Raw genomic sequence first — 24,880 nt, forward strand, 5'->3', positions numbered from 1 at the left:
AGAGATGGAAATGTTCACAGCACCTGTCATGTGCCAGACAGTGGGCTAGACTCTATCCTCACCATACCACTTAGTTTGGAAATGAGAAACTCGAAGCTGGGAAGTTAAATAACTTGGTCAAGGTCATGCTACCAGAGAGTGGATGAAGCCTGCTTCCACTGTACCCTACTGTAGCCCCAAGGTGGAATATGACTTTTCTCCTTCAGGGGTGGTGCAAAGAGCTGCCAAACAAGTGATGAGAATGTCAGAGCTGAGCCCCATGAAGAAAACTCTGGGAGGAGGCACTGTTCAAAGCTTACCTCCTTCCAAAAGGGCCTAACTAGCTACTTTCATAGGCAGCCCCACCGCACTAAACAACACCAAAGGACAAATGCTGCTCGGTACTATCACCGTGCTTAGTGATCAGTGGCTTTTTATTTTTTCCTAACAAGATAATAAACACCTTGAAGCCAAAGACCACGCCTTCCATCTCTTTAGCACCAGGTACACTGCTTGGCCCCAAACTCAAGTGTTTGTACTTGTTAAATAACCACTATCCAAACTAGTGTTTCCAAGGAAGGTCAGAGGTTTTCACTTATGTCAAGTTACCAGCCCTTTCTGTTGAAGAGGCTCAGTGCTAATTTGAACCTCTTCTCCCATGAAACAAAGCTCAAAGCTTTAATGTTATTGCTGCCTAGCTGATATTGCTCAATGGCTTCTTTATGTCAGGTACGGTGTGCTTTACAGGCATTACCTCATTTAATACTCACAGAAACCCTACATGGTACATCCTACTATTGTCCCTTTTTCATATGATGAGACTGAGGAACCCACCCATGGTAACACTAAGGCAGTAAACGGTGGAGCTGCATCCAAAGCAGCCTGATGGGGGCAAAAGGGCTTAAGGGAGTTTTTTTTTATCTCTTGATAATTTAGACTGGCTACATCGGAAGGAAGGAAGGAAGGAGGGAAGGAAGGAAGGGAGGATGGGAGGGAGGGAGGTAATCAGTCTAGAAATAGCCACCTTATGATAGCTGATTGTCACCAAAACCTTCCTTAAAGTTGTTGCTGGTCCCACATCAGACATCAGTGACCGCTGTGTAAAGCGATCCTTCTGTTATACCAAGTGGATTTTTTTTTGTTTTTTTTACTTTAAGTTCTGGGATACATGTGCAGAACCTGAGGTTTGTTACATAAGTATACATGTGCCATGCTGGTTTGCTGCACCTATTAACCCATCACCTAGGTTTGAAGCCCCACATGCATTAGGTATTTGTCCTAATGCCCTCCCTCCCCTTGCCCCGCACCCCCCGACAGGCCTCAGTGTGTGATGTTACCCTCCCTGTGCCCGTGTGTTCTCATTGTTCAACTCCCACTTATGAGTGAGAACATGTGGTATTTGGTTTTCTGTTTCTGTGTTAGTTTGCTGAGAAGGATGGCTTCCAGCTTCATCCATGTCCCTGAAAAAGACATGATCTCATTCTTTTTTATGGCTGCATTATACTGCGTGAAATGTTGAACTGCAGGTTAAATTGAAACTAAAGACTAAGGCCTTTATTTCAAACATGGGAGAGCACCCCACCTTCCCTGCTAAAGGCACTAGTAGGCAAATTCACAGACACTGAAAGACAGTTCCACAGCATACAATTCATAGCCTTGCCTCCAGCCAGGCCAGACCTGAACGCCCCATTTCAAGGTGGAGAGGTGGTAAGACTAAAGCTTAGAACAACAGTCATGCACACCAAGTAGGCCCTGGGTCACTAGAGAGAACACTACTGTAAATATTTGTTCAAGTTAACGGAGCTGAACAACTGTGCTCCTACCACACAGCAAAGCTGCAGTGACTCTCCCAGACACTAGAGGGTGCTGTGCCCACAGCCTGTGCTGTGCCTATAACGGAACACGCTTGATGGAGAAGTTCAAATAAATTCTTCTCCCTGCACACCAACTTTCTTTTTCCATTCTTTTTCTGGCTGATTCTAATTACCCTTGCAACTCAGGCTTGTCTCCTGCCTCCTGTCTCTGTAGGAGACATGCTACCTGAGCACAAAACCATTTTAACATCAGCCTGTAGGTTTGTAAATATTGCCCTAAGCACACTGTGGAGACTACAATGTTTTAGGAAGTTACTGCAGCATGGTTGCTCAAAACCTTGCTTTTCATGTTTCCTTGCCATGATGTTGGCCACAATCCTCTGTTTGCTTAATCCTTTTCTGTCTCAGATACTCTTCCATTTATCCAATTTCTCATGTACCAAAGTTTCTTAGCTCCTCTGAGATCCCGAACTTTCACTTTTATCTCCACAGCTCCTTTTTTTCTCATTCCCAAGGGTTTTGTCATCTCAATCATATTCAAGGTTTCCTAAAGGAATTTCTTTCTTTCTTTATTTTATTTATTTATTTATTTATTTTTTGTAACTCATCAGCAGTCCCTGATGTCAGATGTCGCTGCACTCAGGCTAGAGTGCAGTGGCATGATCTCGGCTCACTGCAGCCTCGACCTCCTGAACTCAAGTGATCCTCCCATCCTCCCACCTCAGGCTCCCGAGTAGCTGGGATTACAGGTGCGTGCCACGCCGCGTGGCTAATTTTTTTCTATTTTTGGTAGAGATGTGGTTTCATCATGTTGGCCAGGCTGGTCTCGAACTCCTGGCCTCAAGTGATCTGCCTGCCTCTGCCTCCCAAAGTGCTGGGATTACAGGTGTGAGCCACCATGCCCGGCCGAAATTCTTATCTTTTAATGAGTGACTGTACAAGAGGGTAAAAAGGAATTGAGTAATTTTTCTTTACCATAGTTGTGTGAGTTTTCCAGCATATTTCACTTCAAGTCAGAAATACATATCTGAATCACATATATACTCTCCCTTCTATCCCCTTCAGCTCCTCCCGCTGCCCTACCAGCCCACTCCTGAAGTAACTCATGGAAATACTTCAGGAAGTACTCTCTGCGGGGACATGGAATCATCTCAGGTACCTCTCACATACTAAATGTTACCTTGCTTTTCCTAAATACATTTTTTACATTAGCCTAAATATATATTTTCTAGCTATGTCATCATTGGTCCCTTTTCCTCTACTTCCACCTGCATAACTGAGTTGATTCCCTCAACACGTCTTGCTTGGGTTGTAGCAACAGCCTCAACACAAGCAGAAATGGAAGGAAGATGCCTTTTCCCTCCTCCAGCCAACCTGAGTGGCACAGTGAACTCAGACTCTGGAACTGCCTGTCAACATGCAACCCAGGCTTCCCCCACCAGCTGCGTGACCTCAGGGTAGTTATGTAACCCCTGTGTGCCCCAATTTCCTCCTTCATATAATGATAATCATGAAAGGGAATGCCGACTCAGTAAATACGTTCACTCTTATTACAAAAGAAGTAAAATCAAAGTTCTTTTTCCATAATTAGTTCACACTATGGTTGAACCAACCCTGGACAATCTTGTCCTTTTGATAAGAGTAAAGCATGTTAAATAGAAATTACAGGAGGCCACTGTTTTGCTTCTGCACAGCGCCCCAAGAGAACAGAATTAAAAACCCAAAATGGAGCCACTCATACTAAAGTTCCACATCATCAAAGCAAAACTAAGTTCTTATATGACCTTCAGAGAAATCAGGAGAGATAATAGCCAAATATCCCAAACAGGCCAGTTTCAGTCAGCATGATAATAAAGTTCCCTCTACTTTAATCCTTACCAAAAAATAAAAAATAATGACCTGAAGAAACCTGATCTTAACCAATCAGTTATTTTTCTGTTGTTCTATTTCCCTGTTCCCACCTTACAAGGAAAATAACCGAAATGACCAATCTGCTTTTTCTTGTGTTTCTGCTTTCTTTAGCTCTTTTCTGTTTGTAAAACCAACCTCCTCTGTTTACCTCACTGGAACACAGGCTATTTTATGGAATGAAGTGTTGCCCAATTCTAGAATTGCAAATAAAGCCAAAGAAAATCTTTTAAATTAAATTGCAGTCATTTTATCTTTTGACAAGTATTTTAAATTATTTTGTGGAAAAGTTGTGTTCTGCATCCTGGATTCAACCAAACCTGAGGTCAAAAATATTCAAAAAATAAAAAACAGCAATACAACAATAAAACATAATGCAAATGAATAATATTGTATAACAATTATTTACAGAGCATTTACATTGTGTTAGGTATTAGAGGTAATCTAGGGGGATTTAAAGTAGATGCGAGGATGCATGTAGGTTATATGCAAATACTAGACCATTTTATTACATACAAGGGACTTGAGAATCCTTGGATTCTGGCATCCACAAAGGGTTCCTGGAGCCAATCCTTCCCCTACTCCAGGATACCGAGGACAACTGTATTCTCATGGTTTTCATATCAACATTAAGAAAATCTGACCACTCTACAAGGCTGGCATTTGGAAGAAAGTGAAGGGATTCTAGCAGTTTTTAGGCTTGACTCTGCCAGTTGTGGAAAGAGTGCAATGTGCTCCCACTGTCTTCGGGTGGGGGACAGCTAGCAGTGTGTGGGGAAAGTGCTAGTCTCATCCCAGATGCACAGCAGTCACCTGCTCCCTGCTGCCAAGCCTCCTGTGGGCCTGTGGAGGGCTGCCCTGCACACCTGCAGGGCGCAAGAGACCCTGTTTTTCTTCCTTTCCTCTTCCATTTTCCCTTTCCCTTGAGTGCCTGAAGCGTGTTTTAAGGGTGGGAGGAAAATTCAAAGGTTTCCCAATTGGCTATTTTGTCATGAGAGGCTTTGTTCTAGCCGTGTTGGTCCTGGCAAACTTGAGGTCAAAGTAGGAGGTAGAATTTCCTCCCAAGGTCCAATGAGCTGGTCTCCAGCCCAAGCTCTCCTGGCTCCATTCAACTTTGTTCTGCTGATAACAATCTTGCTGAAATGCAAATCTGTATCAAGTCACCAGTGACCCTGGAGACTCCTAAACCCCTCACCTGGTGGCCACCACACCCCCATTTCACCTCCAACTACACCCATTTCCCATTGCCTAATCCCTCTCCTTCTTTCAGATCCCGCAGGAGGTGGGAATTGAGGCATCTGGGATGACTTCTGAATTCCTACAAGAATTACGAGACACTTAGGTTTGGACATGCTGGGACTGAGGTGTCTTGGGACATCCAGGTAGGGCTATTGATATATAATAATGTTTTGTGATTCTAAATGTCTCAAAATGGAGTCTTCTTTTTCTTCTAGTTATTGTTTTATAAAAATATATTGTGGTAAAATACATAACATAAAATCTACCATCTTAAATCTTTTTAAGTGTATAATTCAATATTGTTGTCTATATTCACATTGTTATACAACAGATCTCTAGAATTTCACATCTTGTAAACCTGAAACTGAATACCTGTTAAGTAACAACTGCCCATTTTACCCCCTCAGCAGCCCTTAACAAACACCATTCTACTTTTTGTGAGTTTGGCTACTTATTTCATATAAGTGGAATCATACACTATCTGTCACTTTGTCACTGGCTTGTTTTTATTAACATAATATTCTCAAGGTTTATTTTTAACACAGCATGTGACAAAACTTTTTTCAGGGCTGAATAATATTCCACTATATATCTATATGCCACATTTAAAAAATGTTCATTACTTGAATAACATCTGGGTTGTTTCCACCAACAAAATGGAGTCACAATGATAAGTGACTCAGCTCACAGTGAAACTGCTGACTGCTCAAAGTGATAAGCATATGTATGTAGGACTGAGATGACAACACCTGCTGTGGCCAGGCAACCCCAAAACTTGATAAGAAAGGGAAGCCAAGGCCAGGCGGGATGGCTCACACCGGTGATCCCAGCACTTTGGGAGGCCGAGGCAGGTGGATTGCTTAAACTCAGAAGTTCCAGACCAGCCTGGGCAACATGGTGAAACCCTGTCACCAAAATATCTGACAAAGGGCTAATATCCAGAATCTACAATGAACTCAAGCAAATTTACAAGAAAAAAACAAACAACCCCATCAAAAAGTGGGCAAAGGATATGAACAGACACTTCTCAAAAGAAGACATTTATGCAGCCAAAAGACACATGAAAAAATGCTCACCATCACTGGCCATCAGAGAAATGCAAATCAAAACCACAATGAGATACCATCTCACACCAGTTAGAATGGCAATCATTAAAAAGTCAGGAAACAACAGGTGCTGGAGAGGATGTGGAGAAATAGGAACACTTTTACACTGTTGGTGGGACTGTAAACTAGTTCAACCATTGTGGAAGTCAGTGTGGCGATTCCCCAGGGATCTAGAACTAGAAATACCATTTGATCCAGCAATCCCATTACTGGGTATATACCCAAAGGACTATAAATCATGCTGCTATAAAGACACATGCACATGTATGTTTATTGTGGCACTATTCACAATAGCAAAGACTTGGAACCAACCCAAATGTCCAACAATGATAGACTGGATTAAGAAAATGTGGCAGATATACACCATGGAATACTATGCAGCCATAAAAAATGATGAGTTCATGTCCTTTGTAGGGACATGGATGAAATTGGAAATCATCATTCTCAGTAAACTATCGCAAGGACAAAAAACCAAACACCGCATGTTCTCACTCATAGATGGGAATTGAACAATGAGAACACATGGACACAGGAAGGGGAACATCACACTCTGGGGACTGTTGTGGGGTTGGGGGGAGGGGGGAGGCATAGCATTAGGAGATATACCTAATGCTAAATGATGAGTTAATGGGTGCAGCACACCAGCATGGCACATGTATACATATGTAACTAACCCGCACATTGTGCACATGTACCCTAAAACTTAAAGTATAATAATAATAATAATAATAATAATAATAATAATAATGAAAGATTTTAGGAATGAGAGTTTCCTCAAATGACTCCCTTCATAGGAGTTCCTGAGGCACTGAACCATTTTATCAGTAGACCCTGCCCCCCTGTATACCTAAATCGGCCACATTTTGCTGGGCTGCAGTTCCCCGGCCAGCCAGAAATGGAAGGGTTTTTAATCTGTGGCTGGTGGTCTTACATCAAAAGAAGAAAACAGTCAAATTCTCCAGTTCATATCCAACCAAGGGTTTTTTCCTCCCCCAAAATGCAACCGCTGACAATTTATTAAGTCCAGGAAATCCTGGGTTTCATTTTGGTCCTCTTGCAGAGAGGAAAATGGGTGGTTCCCCTCAAAGCTTCCCCAGGATTGTTCCTCCTAGTTGCTATCTCTGGTTCACTACTGACCCCAAACCCAAGCCAGTGAGCCTATTTGTCTTATGGAAAAGGTGGAGGAGCAGTGATACCACATTGGGGGTCCGGGTTGGGCACTGTGGAGGTGCTGGTGGAAGACCATGCCTGAGAAGGAGTGGCGAGGGCCCAGAAGGTCTGTGTTGAGCTGCAGGTGCACCTGAGGCAGCACAGTGGGTCTCCTCTGCTGACAACTCTTTCTGCCCTTTCCCCTCCAGTGTTGGGGCTCTCTCCAGGGTAATGTCCTCCTCTTCTTTCCTTCTCACTCTACATGGTTCACTCAGCCCAGGCAAGCTCAGCCATCCATAATTCCCCATAGGGCACTATTTGGGACAGGACAACTCTTTGTTGTGCAGGACAGTGCTATGAACTGAATAAAGTCCGCAGTAGTGCTCCTCAGTCATCGTGACAACCAAACCTCCCTGACACATTTCCAAATGCCCTCTGGGTCAGGGGGGCAGTGTAGTACTGCTCAGTAGAGGAGCAAAGGACTCCTGAGTTTACATTTCCAACCAAGATAGTTAGTATCCCTGCACTCCAGATCCTTGCACCCAAGGAAATTTCTCAAAGGCACCTTGTGTCCTGTCCCAGAGACATCTTTTTTTTTTTTTTTTTTTTTTTTTTAGACAGAGTTTTGCTGTCATCCAGGCTGGAGTGCAGTGGTACGATCTCAGTTCATTGCAATCTCTGACTCCCAGACTCAAGCGATTCTCAGCCTCCCAAGTAGCTGGGATTACAGGCATGTGGCACCACACCCAGCTAATTTTTGTATTTATAGTAGAGACAGAGTTTCACCGAGTTGGCCAGGTTGGTCTCAAACTCCTAACCTCAAGTGATCTGCGTACCTTGGCCTCTAAAAGTGCTGGGATTACAGGCATGAACTACCACAGCTGGCCTCCAGAGACATCTTAAACTCAACTTTTCAAACCTGATCTCATTTTAATCTACTCTGACCAGTAAATGACCCTACCACTTCCCATTCTCAAACTGAGCCTAGGTGTCATTTCCTAAATCCTCCTCTGAACTCTTTTACCCAGTTAGTGTACCAGCACACAACCACAGGTGAAATAGCCCATCATATTTTCTAGATCTTTTAGGTTACAGCCACCCCAACCTAGCCCCTAATCCAGTCAGAGAGTGGGTTCTAATGCAAAGCTGATGAGATCAAGGTTAGTTCGCTGCTGCTCTAATCTTCAAAGCTTTGTCTACGGAACCATAGTAGAGGTAGTCTGCCTGAGCAGTGGAAGACCATGAGTTTGAGGTAAGATGAAGGAGAACGTAACTGTGTTTCTGCATCTTAGGCGCATGACTTTTAAGCAGGCTCTGAGCAGATAGAGGGCCAAGGTTCTTTTCTCTTGGGGTCTTTTCTCTGTGGGGTCTTTTCTCTCTGAGGCCTCCATCAAAGCCCTCGGGCTCTGTCATAATTGTTGACTTTATCTGTCTGCCTCCCTCAGTAAACTTGGGAGCAGGGGCTGTGTCCTCCTCTCTGGGCCCTCAGCCCAGTGCCTGGCACATGGCAGGCACCCTTTCATGAGTGAATGTTTGTGGAATGAAGTACTGAGTTGGAAATCACTCTGCAAGCTGGGTAGAGCTGGACCACTTTCCCTTACTCATAATACCATCTGGCATTTGCAACAGTAAACACTAACAGCCTCACTTTAATTCAGGACCTTGGGTGGAGGCTCCAAAGAGTGGAATGAGCACTAGAATGGGGAGTCTGAACATCTGAGTCCTTGTCGTGGCTCTGTTAACTAACAAAACCTATCACCTTGGGTATGGCACTTTCTTCAACTGAGGAGATGGAGAGTCAGCTGGGACAAGGGTTCTATAGAGGGGCTTAGAGTGGCTTAAAGGGAGTCCTTGAACAATCTGAAATTGTTGCCAAACTCAGTCTCTTTGCATTCTGTCGAAGGGACACTACTGATTCTTAAATAGTCAAGAACTGCCAATCTGGATAAGCTTCTGAATTACTGCAATTTACATACTGATGCATGTACTTTGAGGGAGAGGAGGTACAGGGGAGCAGCAGAGATGGCTGGCACTCATCCCACATACCCACTGCCATCCCAGGCCCATCTGAGAAGCACTTTGTCAAGGGAGCCTTGGCATGACCAGGGTGCTGACTCCGCCACTTCCTAAACTTTGGTGCCACAAAACAGGAAGCAAAAGGCAGGGTCTAAAGCAGAGGACACACATACAGAATGCTCCTAAAGGGACAGAGGCACGGGATTAGAAAGAAAAACTGCTGGAAAGTAAACCAGATAGGGACTTAGGGAGAGAAGGAGCCTTACAGACAAGGGGACTACCAAGGTTCAGAAGTCTGGCACAGGCAAGGGGAACACCAGGAGTTCTGGAGATGGTGGTCTATACTGGAAGGAAAGGAGAAGGAGCTGGCACTTCCTGAGCACGTACTAAGTGCTGAGTACTCTTGTGATCATAATAATCCTGCAAGGGAGGTTTATCAGTTCCAAGCAAGGGGAGTTAAATATAAGTTCTGCTGTTTTTAAGTGTCCTCTGGCCCCCCTTTCTGCTTTGCACTGTCTGCCCGGATAATTCAGACAGCCTTAGCATTTTCTTTGAAAAGGTCAATGACGAGAGGCTGGACTATGAATCTGCAGCTGGCAAAGGAGAGAGAAAGCTTCATTCAAACAGTTTGCAACCATCCTGGGCACCGGCCACGTGCCAGCCATGGGGCTAGGTTCTCGGAGGTACACAACTAGATCCCTGCTCTTCGCAACAGCCACTACCCGCCACCCCCACATCCTGAGGGGAACTGGGATCTGGGCAGCCAGGGCGCTTAAGTTGCGGGGCCGGTGCTGGGCTGTAAGTGGGAAGCCAGGACTGTGGCTGGGCTCAGAGGAGAGTGAGTCAGGGTTGGTAGGCTTCCCACCCTCCTTCCAGGCTTATCAGGCGCAAGTCACCTGGTCCATGCACCACCAGGGAGAGGTTCTTGGGCTTGGCCGCCGCCGCCATGGAGCTTTTTTGCCTCTCGAGTGAGGCCTGGAACATGCAGGATGTATGGTTGCTCTGGTGGTGCTGCCCAGCTGAGGGTCCAAGACACTGGGTGGAAGGCGGGGCCTGGGAGAGGCAGCGCATGCAGGGGCGGGACAAGGCTTTTTACAATCCTCTTGCAAGACAGAAGAGTTCTCCAAGTCTCCACTCAACCCAGGAAGTTCAGCTGGCTTCACTTCTCAATCCTCCCTCTAAACAGGACATACCAACTGCTGTTGGGAATTGGGCGATGACTGATCTAGCTACTTCCTGCTGGATAGGGGCAAAGAAGGGGCCCTGCAGTTGTAGTGTCCTCCAGAGGGGAACTTTTTAGGCCAGTCAAAGGGCCAGTAGGTTGATCCAGGGGTCCTTCGTAGAAGTTGTGAATTGAGCTCATTTGGGGTTCCATTTGTAAGACCATCTGTAGCTTGATGGCCTCGATCCTGGAGGAAACAAATTTGACAAGGAGGTTAAAAATGCAGGGACTGGGCTGGGCGCAGTGTCTCATGCCTGAATCCCGGCACTTTGGGAGGCCAAGGCGGGCGGATCATGAGGTCAGGAGATCAAGACCATCCTGGCTAACACGGTGAAACCCCGTCTCTACTAAAAATACAAAAAATTAGCCGGGCATGGTGGCAGGTGCCTGTAGTACCAGCTACTTGGGAGGCTGAGGCAGGAGAATGGCATGAACCTGGGAGGTGGAGCTTGCAGTGAGCCAAGATCACACCACTGCACTCCAGCCTGGGTGACAGAGTGAGATTCCATCTCAAAAAAATTAATAAATAAAATAAAATACAGGGCCCGAAGGTGAGTAATAGCAAGATGGCTGTCACAGGACCTAGAAAGGGGAGAAGCCATGTCGCCCAACTCCAGAGGTTGGTCTAAGAGTTTGAGAGGCACTGTGTGATTTCAGAAGCCTTTTCCTGTAAATGCTCATACTATCCCTGACTGGTTAGTGTAAAAGCAACACTCTTCCCCTAAGAAGGTGCAAAGTCCTCCTTTCTCAGCAGCAAGGAGGTCTAGGCCTCAGCGGTTTTGGAGAATCACTGCTGCCAAAGAATCTATTTGGGATTGTAGAGTAAGGATAGATTTTGTTATTTCTCACAAACTGTCTGAGAAATCCTTTGAGAGTGTGTGGTAGTAGGATAGTGAAGTGGACAAACCTGCTATTCCAGTTCCTGTAGCAGTGACCATTCCTAACCCTATAAGGAAGGGTATTAGTTGTATGGCCCTGCACTGATGGACTTGAGCTTTGAGGGGCATTGATTGGGTTTGATTTCCTGGGGCAATGTCAATGTTGGGACTTAGGAAGACTAAGGTGCAGGTGCCTGTCCAGTTGGTGGAGAGGCAGATATAGGTTGAAGTTCTGCATAAGAAGAATATGCCTTGGCTGTAGACAGAACTGGTTGTGTATGTTAAAAAGCTGTGTGAGTTTGTTGTTTTCATTTTCCCATACTCCTAGAGTACTTGCCAAGGTAGCTCTTGTGAGTGGCTGGAAAGGGGTGTTAGGAGCAAATTGAGTGGCTCCCTGTGTTCCATTTTCCCATTGGAGAAAAAATCATTTTGTATCAACTACGAACCATTCAAGGGAGTGATTGAAAGAGGGGATGAGAAGGCAATAATTAATGGTGGGGGCATTGCTGCAGGGGGACCAGGGGTGAATGGTCATGCAGGGAGTATGTTTGCCATTACAAAACCCGGACTGTTTGTTAAGCAGGGAGGAGGTAATGATTTTTGGAGGCCCTGAGAAGCGGACAAGCCATCTGAATGGAGCTGTTTGGGTGACTCAGAAGTTACTATGATCAGTTGGGGCTTGAAGTTGTAGGGTGTAATTACACTGATGGGATAGTAGGTGCCCCAGGGGCAGGCCTGATAACAGGTTGTGCTGGAGGCATAAAGGGGCTTTGAAAGTTAAGACAGTATTCATGGTTACAGGGCCGTGTATGGACTTTTCATTGCTCATGTAATAGGTGAGGTTGGAAATGTAAAAGCTGGATTGCACGTCCTGTTAGGGTATTCTTGGTAAGCTTTGGGGAAACCCAAATCTAGGAATTATTTCATGAATTAGGACTTTAACCACTTCCCAAGGCTTCTCTGTCTTGGAGGGGAAGGCTTCTGTCCAATTTGTAAAGATATCAACACAGACCAAGTATTGAAATCCCCTTGACTTAGGCATATGGGTGAAGTCTAACTGCCAGTCCTCTCCAGGATCATGCCCTATTCTTTGTTCCCCCAGAGGGGCCTTATGATGGACCAAGGGATTATTCCTTTGGCACACCTCACAGGCTTTGACTACTTGTTGGATGGTCTGGAGGAGATTTGGCCCCATAAATAGGGATTTGGCCATTTGATGAGTGTTCTCAATACCCATATGAAAAGTTTGGTGAAGGTTCTTAAGTATTTTCCACTGGCTGGCTTTGGGCATGAGTACTTTTCCCTCTTCTGTCATTAACCACCCTAGGGGAGAAAACTATACCACCATGAAAGTCCCCATTCTGTTTTGGTTGGGGAACACTGGGGCTTAATCTCTTGGAGACGGTTGTTCCATACCAAGGGTCCTTCCATAGGTATTTCTAATGGGAGTTTCCACCTGGCAGCAATTTTGGCCTCAGTGTCTGCCTGATGGTTTCCTTCTGCCTTTTCTCCTTCACCTTTTTGACAGCTTTGGCAGTGGAAGACTGCCACCTCCTTGGGTTTTTGCACTGGGTGCAATAACTTCATGATTTCCTTGGGGTATTTAATAGGGGTTCCCCCAGAGGTTAGGAACTCCCTTTCTTTCCATATTGCAGCATGGGCATGTAGAATAGATAAGCATACTTTCTATCTGTATACACATTTATTCTTTTTCTCTTTCCCAGTTCTAAGGCTCGGATAAGTGCCACCAGTTCTGCTAACTGGGTGCTGGTCCCTGGGGGAAGACGCTTACTTTCAAGTACTGTTACATCACTAACTATGGCATAACCTGTCCTTTGTATCCCATTCTCCACAAATGAACTTCCATTGGTATATAGATTAAAGTCAGGATTAGCTAAGGGGACTTCTAAAAGATCCTCTTGGGTGGCATAAGTCTGGGCTACAATTTATTGGCAGTCATGCTTGATTGGTTCCCCATCCCATGGGAGAAAAGTGGCAGGGTTGAGGGACGCACACCTGCATATTTGAAGCACTGGTCCCTCAAGGAGTAGCACCTGGTATCTAAGCAGGCGGTTGTCTGATAGCCACAAATTTCCTTTGGCACCTAGTATGCTGTTTACATCATGAGTAGTCCGGACAGTGAGATCCTTTCCTTGAATTATTTTGATAGCCTCTGATACCAAGATAGCAACCATCACAACTACCTGTAAACAGTGAGGCCAGCCTTTTGCTACTACCTCAATTTCCTTACTTAGGTATGCCACTGGTTGTGGGGTTGTCCCACGAGTCTGAATAAGGACTCCAAGAGCTATTCCCACTCTCTCTGTGATGTATAAAGAGAAGTTTTGTCCTGTGGGAAGGCTTAAGGCTGGAGCTTGTACTAGGGCCTGCTTTAAGATTTTGAAGGCTGTTTCTGCCTCTTGTTCCCATTCTACTAGATGAGTATTTGCCCTCTGAGTCTCCTTGATTAGCATATAGAGTGGCCTGGCCATCTCACTGTATCCGGGGATCCATAGTCAGCAACAGCCAGTGATTCCAAGGAACCCCCGCAACTGTTTTAATGTCTTAGGGCAAGGATAAGGCAGTATAGGCTGTGTTTGTTCCTTGCTGAGGGCCCTGGTTCCTCTGGCTAAGATTAGGCCTAGATATTTGACTTGTTGTAGGCAGAGCTGGGCTTTCAGTTTAGATGCCTTGCACCTTTGATTAGCTAGAAAGTTCAAGAGATCTAGAGTAGCCTGCTGGCATGAGGCTTCCAAACTGGTAGCCAAAAGTAAATCATCCAAATTCCATTCCAAGATGGCTGAATAGGAATAGCTCCGATCTGCAGCTCCCAGGGTGATTGATGCAGAAGACGGTGATTTCTGCATTTCCAACTGTTGGACCTAGTTCATCTCATTGGGAATGGTTGGACAGTGGGTGCAGCCCATGGAGGGCAAGCCGAAGTGGGGCAGAGCATCGCCTCACCCAGGAAGCACAAGAGGTCAGGGAATTTCCCTTTCCTAGCCAAAGAAAGCTGTGACAGACTGTACCTGGAAAATCAGGACACTGTCACCCAAATACTGTGCTTTTCCAACAATCTTAGCAAACGGCACACCAGGAGATCATATCCCGCACCTGGCTTGGTGGATCCCAAGCCCACACAGCTTTTCTCACTGCTAGCACAGCAGTCTGAGGCAGCAGCCTGGTAGGGGAGGGGCGTCCACCATTGCTGAGGCTTGAGTAGGTAAACAATGTGGCTGGGGAAGTTTGAACTGGGCAGAGCCCACTGCAGCTCTGCAAGGCCTGCTGCCTCTGTAGACCCCACCTCTGGGGGCAGGCATAGCTGAACAAAAGACAGCAGAAACTTCTGCAGACATAAATGTCCCTGTCTGACAGCTCTGAAGAGAGCAATGGCTCTCCTGGCATGGTTTCTGAGCTCTGAGAATGGACAGACTGCCTCCTCAAGTGGGTCCCTGTTCCCCGTGTAGCCTAACTGGGAGACACCTCCCAGTAGGGGCTGACAGACACCTCATACAGGTGAGTGCCCCTCTGGGATGAAGCTTCCAGAGGAAGGATCAGGCAGCAACATTTGCTCTTCTGCAATATTTGCTGTTCTGCAGCCTCTGCTGGTGATACCCAGGTAAACAGGGTCTGGAGATGACCTCCAGCAAACTCCAACAGACCTTCAGCTGAGGGACCTGACTCTTAGAAGGAAAACTAACAAACAGAAAGGAATAACATCAACATCAACAAAAAGGACATCCACACCAAAACCCCATCTGTAGGTCACCAGCCTCAAAGACCAAAGGTAGATAAAACCACGAAGATGGGGAGAAACCAGAGCAGAATAGTGGAATTTACTGGAAACCAGTGCACCTCTTCTCTTCCAGAGGATAGCAGCTTCTCACCAGCAATGGAACAAAGCTGGACGGAGAATGATTTTGATGAGCTGACAGAAGTAGGCTTCAGAAGGTTGGTAATAAACTTCTCTGAGCTAAAGGAGGATGTTCGAACCCTTCATAAAGAAGCTAAAAACCTTGAAAAAAGATTACATGAAAGGAAAACTAGAACAAACAGTGTAAAGAAGATGATAAACAACCTGATGGAGCTGAAAACCATGGCACGAGAACTACATGATGCATGCACAAGCTTCAATAGCTGATTTGATCAAGTGGAAGAAAGGATATCAGTGATTGAAGATCACATTAATGAAATAAAGTGAGAGGAGAAGTTTAGAGAAAAAAGAGTGAAAGGAAATGAACGAAGCCTCCAAAAAACAGGGACTACGTGAAAAGACCAAAATCTATGTTTGATTGGTATACCTGAAAGTGACAGGGAGAATGGAACCAAGTAGGAAAACACTCTTCAGGATATTATCCAGGAGAACTTCCCCAACCTAGCAAGGCAGGCCAACATTTAAATTCGAGAAATACAGAGAACAACACAAAGATAATCCTCGAGAACAGCAACCCCAATACACATACTTGTCAGATGCTCCAAGGTTGAAATGAAGGAAAAAAGTTAAGGGCAGCCAGAGATAAAGGTCTGGTTACCCACAAAGGGAAGCCCATCAGACTAACAGCAGATCTCTCGGCAGAAACTCTACAAGCCAGAAGAGAGTAGGGGCCAATATTCAACATTCTTCAAGAAAAGAATTCTTCAAGAAAAAAATTCTGAATTTTCAATCCAGAATTTCATATCCAGCCAAACTAATTTTCATAAGTGAAGGAGAAATAAAACCCTTTACAGACAAGCAAGTGCTCAGAGATTTTGTCACCACCAGGCCTGCCTTACAAGATCTCCTGAAGGAAGCACTAAACATAGAATGGAGCAACCGGTACCAGCCACTGCAAAAACATGCCAAGTTTTGGCTGGGCACAGTGGCTCACACCTGTAATCCCAGCATTTTGGGAGGCCAAGGTGGGTGAATCACAAGGTGAGGAAATCGAGACCATCCTTGCTAAGATGGTGAAACCCTGTCTCTACTAAAAATACAAAAAATTAGCCAGGCATGGTGGTGGGCACCTGTAGTCCCAGCTACTCAGGAGGCTGAGGCAGGAGAATGGCATGAACCCAGGAGGCAGAGCTTGCAGTGAGCCAAGATCATGCCACTCCACTCCAGCCTGGGCAAAAGAGTGAGACTCTGTCTCAAAAAAAAACAACAAAAAACAAAAAACAAACAAACAAAAAAACATGCCAAATTTTAAAGATCATCGATGCTAGGAAGAAACTGTATCAATTAATGGGCAAAATAACCAGCTAACATCATAATGACAGGATCAAATTCACACATAGCAATATTAACCTTAAATGTAAGTGGGATAAATTCCCCAATTAAAAGACACAGACTGACAAATAGGATAAAGAGTCAAGACCCATCAGTGTGCTGTATTCAGGAGACCCATCTCACATGCAGACACACATTGGCTCAAAATAAAGGGATGGAGGAAGATCTACCAAGCAAATGGAAAGCAAAGAAAAAGCAGGGGTTGCAATCCTAGTCTCTGATAAAACAGACTTTGAACCAACAAAGAACAAAAGAGACAAAGAAGGCCATTACATAATGGTAAAGGGATCAATTCAACAAGAAGAGCTAACTACCCTAAATATATATGCACCCAATACAGGAGCACCCAGATTCATAAAGCAAGTCCTTAGAGACCTACGAAGAGACTTAGACTCCCACACAATAATAATGGGAGATTTTAACACCCCACTGTCAATATTAGACAGATCAACAAGACAGAAGGTTAACAAGGATATCCAGGACTTGAACTCAGCTCTGCACCTAGAAGACCTAAGAGACATCTACAGAACTCTCCACCCCAAATCAACAGAATACACATTCTTCTCAGCACCACATCGCACTTCTTCAAAAATTGACCACATAGTTGGAAGCAAAGCACTCCTCAGCCAATGTAAAAGAACAGAAATCACAACAAACTGTCTCTCAGACCACAGTGCAAACAAAGTAGAACTCAGGATGAAGGAACTCACTCAAAACTGCAAAACTACATGAAAACTGAACAATCTGTTCCTGAATGACTACTGGGTAAACAAAGAAATTAAGGCAGAAATAAAGATGTTCCTTGAAACCAATGAGAACAAAGACACAACGTACCAGAATCTCTGGGACACACTTAAAGCAGTGTGTAGAGGGAAATTTATAGCACTAAATGCCCACAAGAGAAAGCAGGAAAGATCTAAAATCAACACCCTATCATCACAATTGAAAGAACTAGAGAAGCAAGAGCAAACACATTCAAAAGCTAGCAGAAGGCAAGAAATAACTAAGATCAGAGCAGAAGTGAAGGAGATAGAGACACAAAAAACCCTTAAAAAATTAATGAATCCAGGTGCTGGTTTTTTGAAAAGATCATCAAAATTGATAGGCTGCTAGCAAGACTAATAAAGAAGAAATGAGAAAAAATGAAATAGACACAATAAAAAATGATAAAGGGGATATCACCACTGATCCCACAGATACAAACTACCATCAGAGAATACTATAAAAAGCTCTATGCAAATAAACTAGAAAATCTAGAATAAATGGATAAATTCCTGGACACACACACTGTCCCAAGACTAAACCAGTAAGAAGTTGAATCTCTGAATAGAACAATGACAGGTTCTGAAATTAAGACAATAATTAATAACCTATGAATCAAAAAGAGTCCAGGACCAGACGGATTCACAGCCAAATTCTACCACAGGTACAAAGAGTAGCTGATACCATTCCTTCTGAAACTATTCCAAACAATAGAAAAAGAGGGAATCCTCCCTAACTCATTTTATGAGGCCAGCATTATCCTGATACCAAAGCCTGGCAGAGACACAACAAAAAAAGAGAATTTCAGACCAATATCCCTGATGAACATCGATGCAAAAATCCTCAATAAAATACAGGCAAACCAAATCCAGCAGCACATCAAAAAGCTTATCCACCATGATCAAGTTGGCTTCATCCCTGGGATGCAAGGCTGGTTCAACATATGCAAATCAATAAACATAATCCATCACATAAACAGAACCGACGACAAAAACCACATGACTATCTCAATAGACGTAGAAAAGGCCTTTACAAAATTCAACAGCCCTTCATGCTAAATCTCTAATAAACTAGGTATTGATGGAACATATCTCAAAATGATAAGAGCTATTTATGACTAACCCACAGCCAATATCATACTTAATGGGCAAAAACTGGAAGCATTCCCTTTGAAAAGTGGTACAAGAGAAGGATGCCCTCTTTCACGACTCCTATTCAACATAGTGTTGGAAGATGGGCCAGGGCAATCAGGCAAGAGAAAGCTCCGCCTCCTGGGTTCATGCCATTCAATTAGGAAAAGAGGAAGTCAAATTGTCCCTGTTTGCAGATGACATGGCTGTATATTTAGAAAACCCCATCGTCTCAGCCCAAAATCTCCTTAAGCTGATAAGCAACTTCAGCAAAGTCTCAGGATACAAAATCCATGTGCAAAAATCACAAGCATTCCTATACGGCAATGACAGACAAACAGAGCCAAATCATGTGTGAATTCTCATTAACAATTTCTACAAAGAGAAAAAAATACCTAGGAATCCAACTTACAAGGGATGTGAAGGACCTCTTCAAGGAGGACCACAAACCAATGCTCAACGAAATAAAAGCGGACACAAACAAATGGAAGAACATTCCATGCTCATGGATAGGAAGAATCAATATCATGAAAATGGCCATACTGCCCAAGGTAGTTTATAGATTCAATGCCATCCCCATCAAGCTACCAATGACTTTCTTCACAGAATTGGAAAAAACTACTTTAAAGTTCATATGGAAACAAAAAAAGAGCCTGTAGCCTGTATTGCCAAGAAAATCCTAACCAAAAAGAATGAAGTTGGAGGCATCATGCTACCTGACTTCAAACTATACTACAAGGCTACAGCAACAAAAACAGCATGGTACTGGTACCAAAACAGATATATAGACCAATAGAACAGAACAGTGGCCTCAGAAATAACACCACACATCTACAACCACCTGATCTTTGACAAACCTGACAAAAACAAGCAATGGGGAAAGGATTCTCTATTTAATAAACGTGCTGGGGAAACTGGCTAGCCATATGTAGGAAGCTGAAATGGGATCCCTTCCTTACACCTTATACAAAAATTAATTCAAGATGGACTAAAGACTTAAATGTTAGATCTAAAACCATAAAAACCCTAGAAGAAAACCTAGGCAATACCATTCATGATATAGGCATGGGCAAGGACTTCATGACTAAAACACCAAAAGCAATGTTAAGAAAAGCCAAAACAAATGGGATCTAATTAAACTAAAGAGCTTCTGCACAGCAAAAGAAATTATCATCAGAGTGAACAGGCAACCTACAGAATGGGAGAAAATTTTTGCAATCTACCCATCTGACAAAGGGCTAATATCCAGAATCTACAAAGAACTTAAACAAATGTACAAGACAAAAACAAACCACCCATCAAAAAGTGGGCAAAGGATATTAACAGTCACTTTTCAAAAGAAGACATTTATGTAGCCAACAGGCACATGGAAAAATGCTCATCATCACTGGTCATCAGAGAAATGCAAATGAAAACCACAATGAGATACCATTTCACACCAGTTAGAATGGTGATCATTAAAAAGTCAGGAAACAACAGATGCTGGAGAGGATGTGAAGAAATAGGAATGCTTTTACACTGTTGGTGGGAGTGTAAACTAGTTCATCCATTGTGGAAGACAGTGTGGTGGTGATTCTTCAAGGATCTAGAACTAGAAATACCATTTGACCCAGCCATCCCATTACTGGGTATATACCCAAAGGATTAAAAGTCATGCTACTATAAAGACACATGCACACGTATGTTTATTGTGGCACTATTCACAATAGCAAAAACTTGGAACCAACCCTAATGTCCACCAATGATAGCATGGATTAAGAAAATGTGACACATATACACCAGGGAATACTATGCAGCTATAAAAAAGGATGAGTCCATGTCCTTTGCAGGCACATGGATGAAGCTGGAAACCATCATTCTCAGCAAACTATCACAAGGACAGAAAACCAAACACTGCATGTTCTTACTCATGGTTGGGAATTGAACAATGAGAACACTTGGACACACGGTGGGGAACATCACACACGGGGGCCTGTCATGGGGTGGGGGGCAGGGGGAGGGATAGCATTAGGAGAAATACCTAATGTAAATGACGAGTTGATGGTTGCAGCAAACCAACATGGCACATGTAACCTATGTAACAAACCTGCATGTTGTGCACATGTACCCTAGAACTTAAAGTATAGTAATAATAAAAAATATAAATCATCCACATTCTGAAGGACCAGAGTTCCTGGACTTGGGAAGTGGCCTACATCTTGGGCCAGTGCCTGACCAAACAGATGAGGGCTATCCCTAAACCCTTGAGGCAAGACTGTCCACGTAAATTGGGATGTGTGGTCTGTGGGATCCTCAAAGGCAAAGAGAAACTGGGAGTCAGAGTGCAGGAGAATGCAGAAGAAGGTATCCTTGAGGTCCAGAATAGTGAACCATTCTGCTTCCTCTGGTATTTGAGAGAGCAGGGTATAGGAGTTGGCTACAACTGGATATAGAGAAATTACTGCCTCATTGATGAGACTAAGATCTTGCACTAGTCTCCACTGAACATTTGCTTTTTGTACTCCTAGAATTGGAGTGTTGCAGGGCCTATTGCATTTTCTTACTAAGCCTTGAGCTTTTAAATGTCTAACAATATACTGTAAACCTTTATGAGCTTTGGGCCTTAAGGGATATTGCCTTTGATAAGGAAAAGTGGTGGGGTCTTTTAGCCTGATTCGAACTGGCTGGGCATTTTTTGCCCTTCTGAATTGTCCTTCCAATGCCCAGACTTCAGAGTTGATTCCCTCCTCAAGTAGGAGACAACAAATGGGTAACTTGTCCCCCATATTCATATCATATCAGTAATAGCTCCAGCTTTGGCTAACACGTCCTTCCCTAATAAGAGTGTGGGACTTTCAGGCATAACAAGAAAGGCATGTGAAAAGAGCAAAGTCTCTGAATTACAACTGAGGAGGTGGGAGAAATACCTGGTTACAGGCTGTCCCAGGATTCCTCGGATGGTAATGGACTTTGAGGACAGTGGTCCGGGGCAGGAGAGTAACACTGAGAAGGCAGTGTCAGTGTCCAGGAGGAAATCAATTCACTGGCCCTCAATGGTTAAAGTTACCCGAGTCTCAGAGAAGGTGATGACATGAGCTGGCACTTGCCTTGGGCATCCTCAGTCCTGTTGTTGGATCATCTGGTTGGGGGTTCTGGCCTAGAGAACCTTTGTCCTCCAGGACATCTTCCAGTGATTGCCTTGGCATAGTGGACATGGGCGAGAGGGTGGCTTGTTTCTCATTGGACAATCTTTTTTGAAGTGTTCTTGCAAACCACACTGATAACAAGCCCTACCAGGTTATTGGCCTTCTCCATTTTCTCTCCTCTCTGAACCACCAAGGTTTGTTCATGTGAGGGCCATGAGTTAGGCTGTGGCCTTTCTCTGATCTCGCTTTTCCTTCTCAGCCTGTTCCTCTTGGTCCCTGTGATAGAACACCAAGGTTGCCAGCTTTAATAATGCCTCCAGATTTTGTTCAGGGCCCAGGGCTCACTTTTGGAGCTTTCTCGTGATATCTGCAGCTGGTTGCATAATAAACTTATCCTTTTGGATTAATTGACCCTCAAAGGAGTCAGAGGACAGGGGAGTATATTTTCTTAAGGCCTCCCATAGCCACTCGAGGAAGGTGGATGGATTTTCTTCCTTTCCCTGAGTTATGGTGGACATCATTGAATAATTCATGGGCTTTTTCCTAATTCTCTTCGTCATTCTAGAACACAGGTTAACAGATGTTTGCGACTCCAGTTCCCATGATCTGAGTCAAGGTCCCAGTGGGGATCAATACTGGTGATGGCTTGCTGACTGGTAGGGAATTTGTCCCTTTCTTTGGCTGTCATTCTATCATTTACTTGACTAAGATACCAAGTATCTCCAAACTCTCAGGCTGCAGCTAAACCTGCATTCTTTTCATTAAAGGCCAGGGTTTGATCTAACAATAGCATGACATCTCTCCAAGTGAGGTCGAAGTTTTGCCCTAGACCCTGTAGGACATCTATATACCTATCAGGATCATCTGAAAACTTCCCCAGATCTACCTTGATCTGCTTTAAATCAGAGAGGGAGAAGGGGACATGTACCCAGGTTGGGCCAAATTCCCCTCCCCCTACAGCTTGAAAAGAACATAACCAATAGCCCAGAGGTTTTTGTGGCCCCTTGGAGATTTCTTTGCTTGTTTCCTTCTGGGTGGGGGAGATTAGAGGAGGCTCATCATTAATAGGAAGAGGAGCTGTAGGGAGGCTAGGATATGGGGGTAAGCTGAGAGGTCCTCCTGTGGAATGTAGGTTGCAAGCTTTGCATAGTTGTGGATTGTCCTTCAGTGAAAAGAAAGCTTGGACATAAGGTATTTCACTCCATTTGCCTTCCATCTTACAGAAAAAGTCAAGCTGCAGGATAATACTGTAATTTATACTTTCCACAGGTGGCCATTTTTCCCTATCAGAGAGAGAATATTGGGACCAGGCCACAGTGCAGAAAAAAATAAGCCTCTTCTTTTTCAGGGCTTGCAGGTCAAATTCATCCCAATGGCTTAGGATGCATTTCAAGTGTGAGCCTGTTTGATGCCTGAGTGTTTCCCATCTAAAAGAAAAAACTGCCCATGATTTTGGTTCATTTTTTTATCCCTGACCAAAAACTTGCAACGGTCCCTGGACCCTGCTGTTCAGAATAGTTGTGCTCACTGAAGCAGCAGCAGAAACACTAGTTTTCCTCCTAGACGACAAAGAGGACTGAGGAAGGTCAGATTTAGTGGCCCTTACCAATGCATTCTCGAAAACCTGCACCCTTGCCTTTCCTCTTAGACCACAAAGAGGACCGAGAAAAATCGGATTCAGTGGCCCTTACACATTCTCGAAAACCTGTTAGTTAAGAGTCCTAAGCATTTTCTTCTGTTGGTATTGTGACCTTACCCTTGTCCTATAGAGAAGATATGCCTCAAAATGGAGTGGAGGGCCATACTTGAAGGAGGGAAGGGATCGCCAGGGTTGTAAGAGTGATGCCTTTTGTCCTCACTTCTCATCATATGAATAGGAAGGATATCCCCCCTCCCAATTTTGGAATCTATAATTTCTGAGGCTCTGCATATCTTAGCTTTGGGAATAGCCTTTGTTAGGCCTACTCGTCTGTAGAGGGATCCTAAAATTCCAGATAGTCCCTCCGAGATAGGGCTTCGGGCAATAATTATGTCTTTCTGATTGGTGAGCCTGGGTGCCTCAAAAAGGGAACAGAGTCCCGAAATTTATACAAAAATAATTCTTATAGGAGAAACTTGAAAAGCACCAGGGACAGGGAGTGGTTTTTAGAAGCAGGATTACCCTTGGAGAACAGAGGCAGGAGGAAGTTTGTCTGACAGGCATTAGGACCCAGGAGGCAAGGATCAGGATAGATAGGATAGATGGACAAGTCTCACTTGGGTGATGTAACTTTGAGAGTCTGCTCATGGCTGCAAGGTCAACCAACTTTTGTTAGGACCCCAGAGTGAATGGCTTTCCTCTCTGTTGACCCTTAGCTCAGCCCGGAAGTACAGGAGAAGCAGAAGCTGTTTCCAGGCAAACCAATGCTCCTAACTCCAAAGAGTTGGGGGGTTTTTAGAGAGCCCTTTCCTAGAAAGCCTGACACCCGTGTCTTATTCTGGGGGCCACACTAGTTCCTTCTAACTGGCTGACAAGTGCTTGGTGTTTAGCCCCCGAATTCTAAGGAAAAATAGGACAGAATAGCAAGTGAAATGGTACTCACTGCATGATGCTATCCTGGATGAGCCCCCAAAATATGTCCAGAGTTGGTTGACTGTGGGTTCATGGCCTTGCTGACTTCAAGAATGAAGCTGCAGACCTTTGCGGTGAGTGTTACAGCTCTTAAAGGTGACACCAACCCAAAGAATGAGCACTAGCAAGGCTTATTTTGAAGAGCAAAAGAACAAAGCCTCCACAGCATGGAAGGGGATCCGAGCAGCTTGCTGCTGCTGGCTGGGTGTGGCCAGCTTTTATTCCCTTATTTGTCCCCTCCTATGTTCCATTTCTATCCTATCAGAAACCCTTTTTTCAATCCTCCCTGTGATTGGCTACTTTGAGGATCCTGCTGATTGGTGCATTTTACAAAGCACTGATGGGGCATTTTACAATCCCCTTGCTAGCTACAGAATGCTGATTGGTGTTTTTTTACAGAGCACTGATTGGTGCATTTTACAATCCTCTTGTAAGATAGAAAAGTTCTTTAAGTCCCCATTTGGCCCAGGAAGTCCAGCTGGCTCCACCTCTCACCAGCACTTTGGGAGGCCAAGGCAGGCATATCACCTGAGGTCAGGATTTTGAGACCAGCCTTGCCAACGTGGCAAAGCCCTGTCTCTACTAAAAATACAAAAATTAGCCGGGCATGGTGGTGGGCACCTGTAATCCCAGCTACTTGGGAGGCTGAGGCATGAGAATCTCTTGAACCCAGAA

At 44.4% G+C, this 24,880-nt stretch overlaps 1 long non-coding RNA gene and 1 pseudogene across 3 annotated transcripts in view; one reads left to right on the top strand and one right to left on the bottom strand.

Moving 5' to 3' along the window:
• Positions 1-24,880, bottom strand: part of SORD2P (sorbitol dehydrogenase 2, pseudogene) — a 58,948-nt pseudogene that overhangs the window by 25,945 nt on the left and 8,123 nt on the right. The window lies entirely within an intron of this gene.
• Positions 2,866-5,083, top strand: LOC105370798 (uncharacterized). The gene is made up of 2 exons (XR_932185.3): positions 2,866-2,948; positions 4,972-5,083. It is a non-coding gene; the product is annotated as an uncharacterized LOC105370798 (long non-coding RNA).

The sequence above is a fragment of the Homo sapiens genome, chromosome 15, assembly GCF_000001405.40.
Source record: "Homo sapiens chromosome 15, GRCh38.p14 Primary Assembly".
In the NCBI taxonomy this organism is placed as follows: Eukaryota; Metazoa; Chordata; class Mammalia; order Primates; family Hominidae; genus Homo; species Homo sapiens.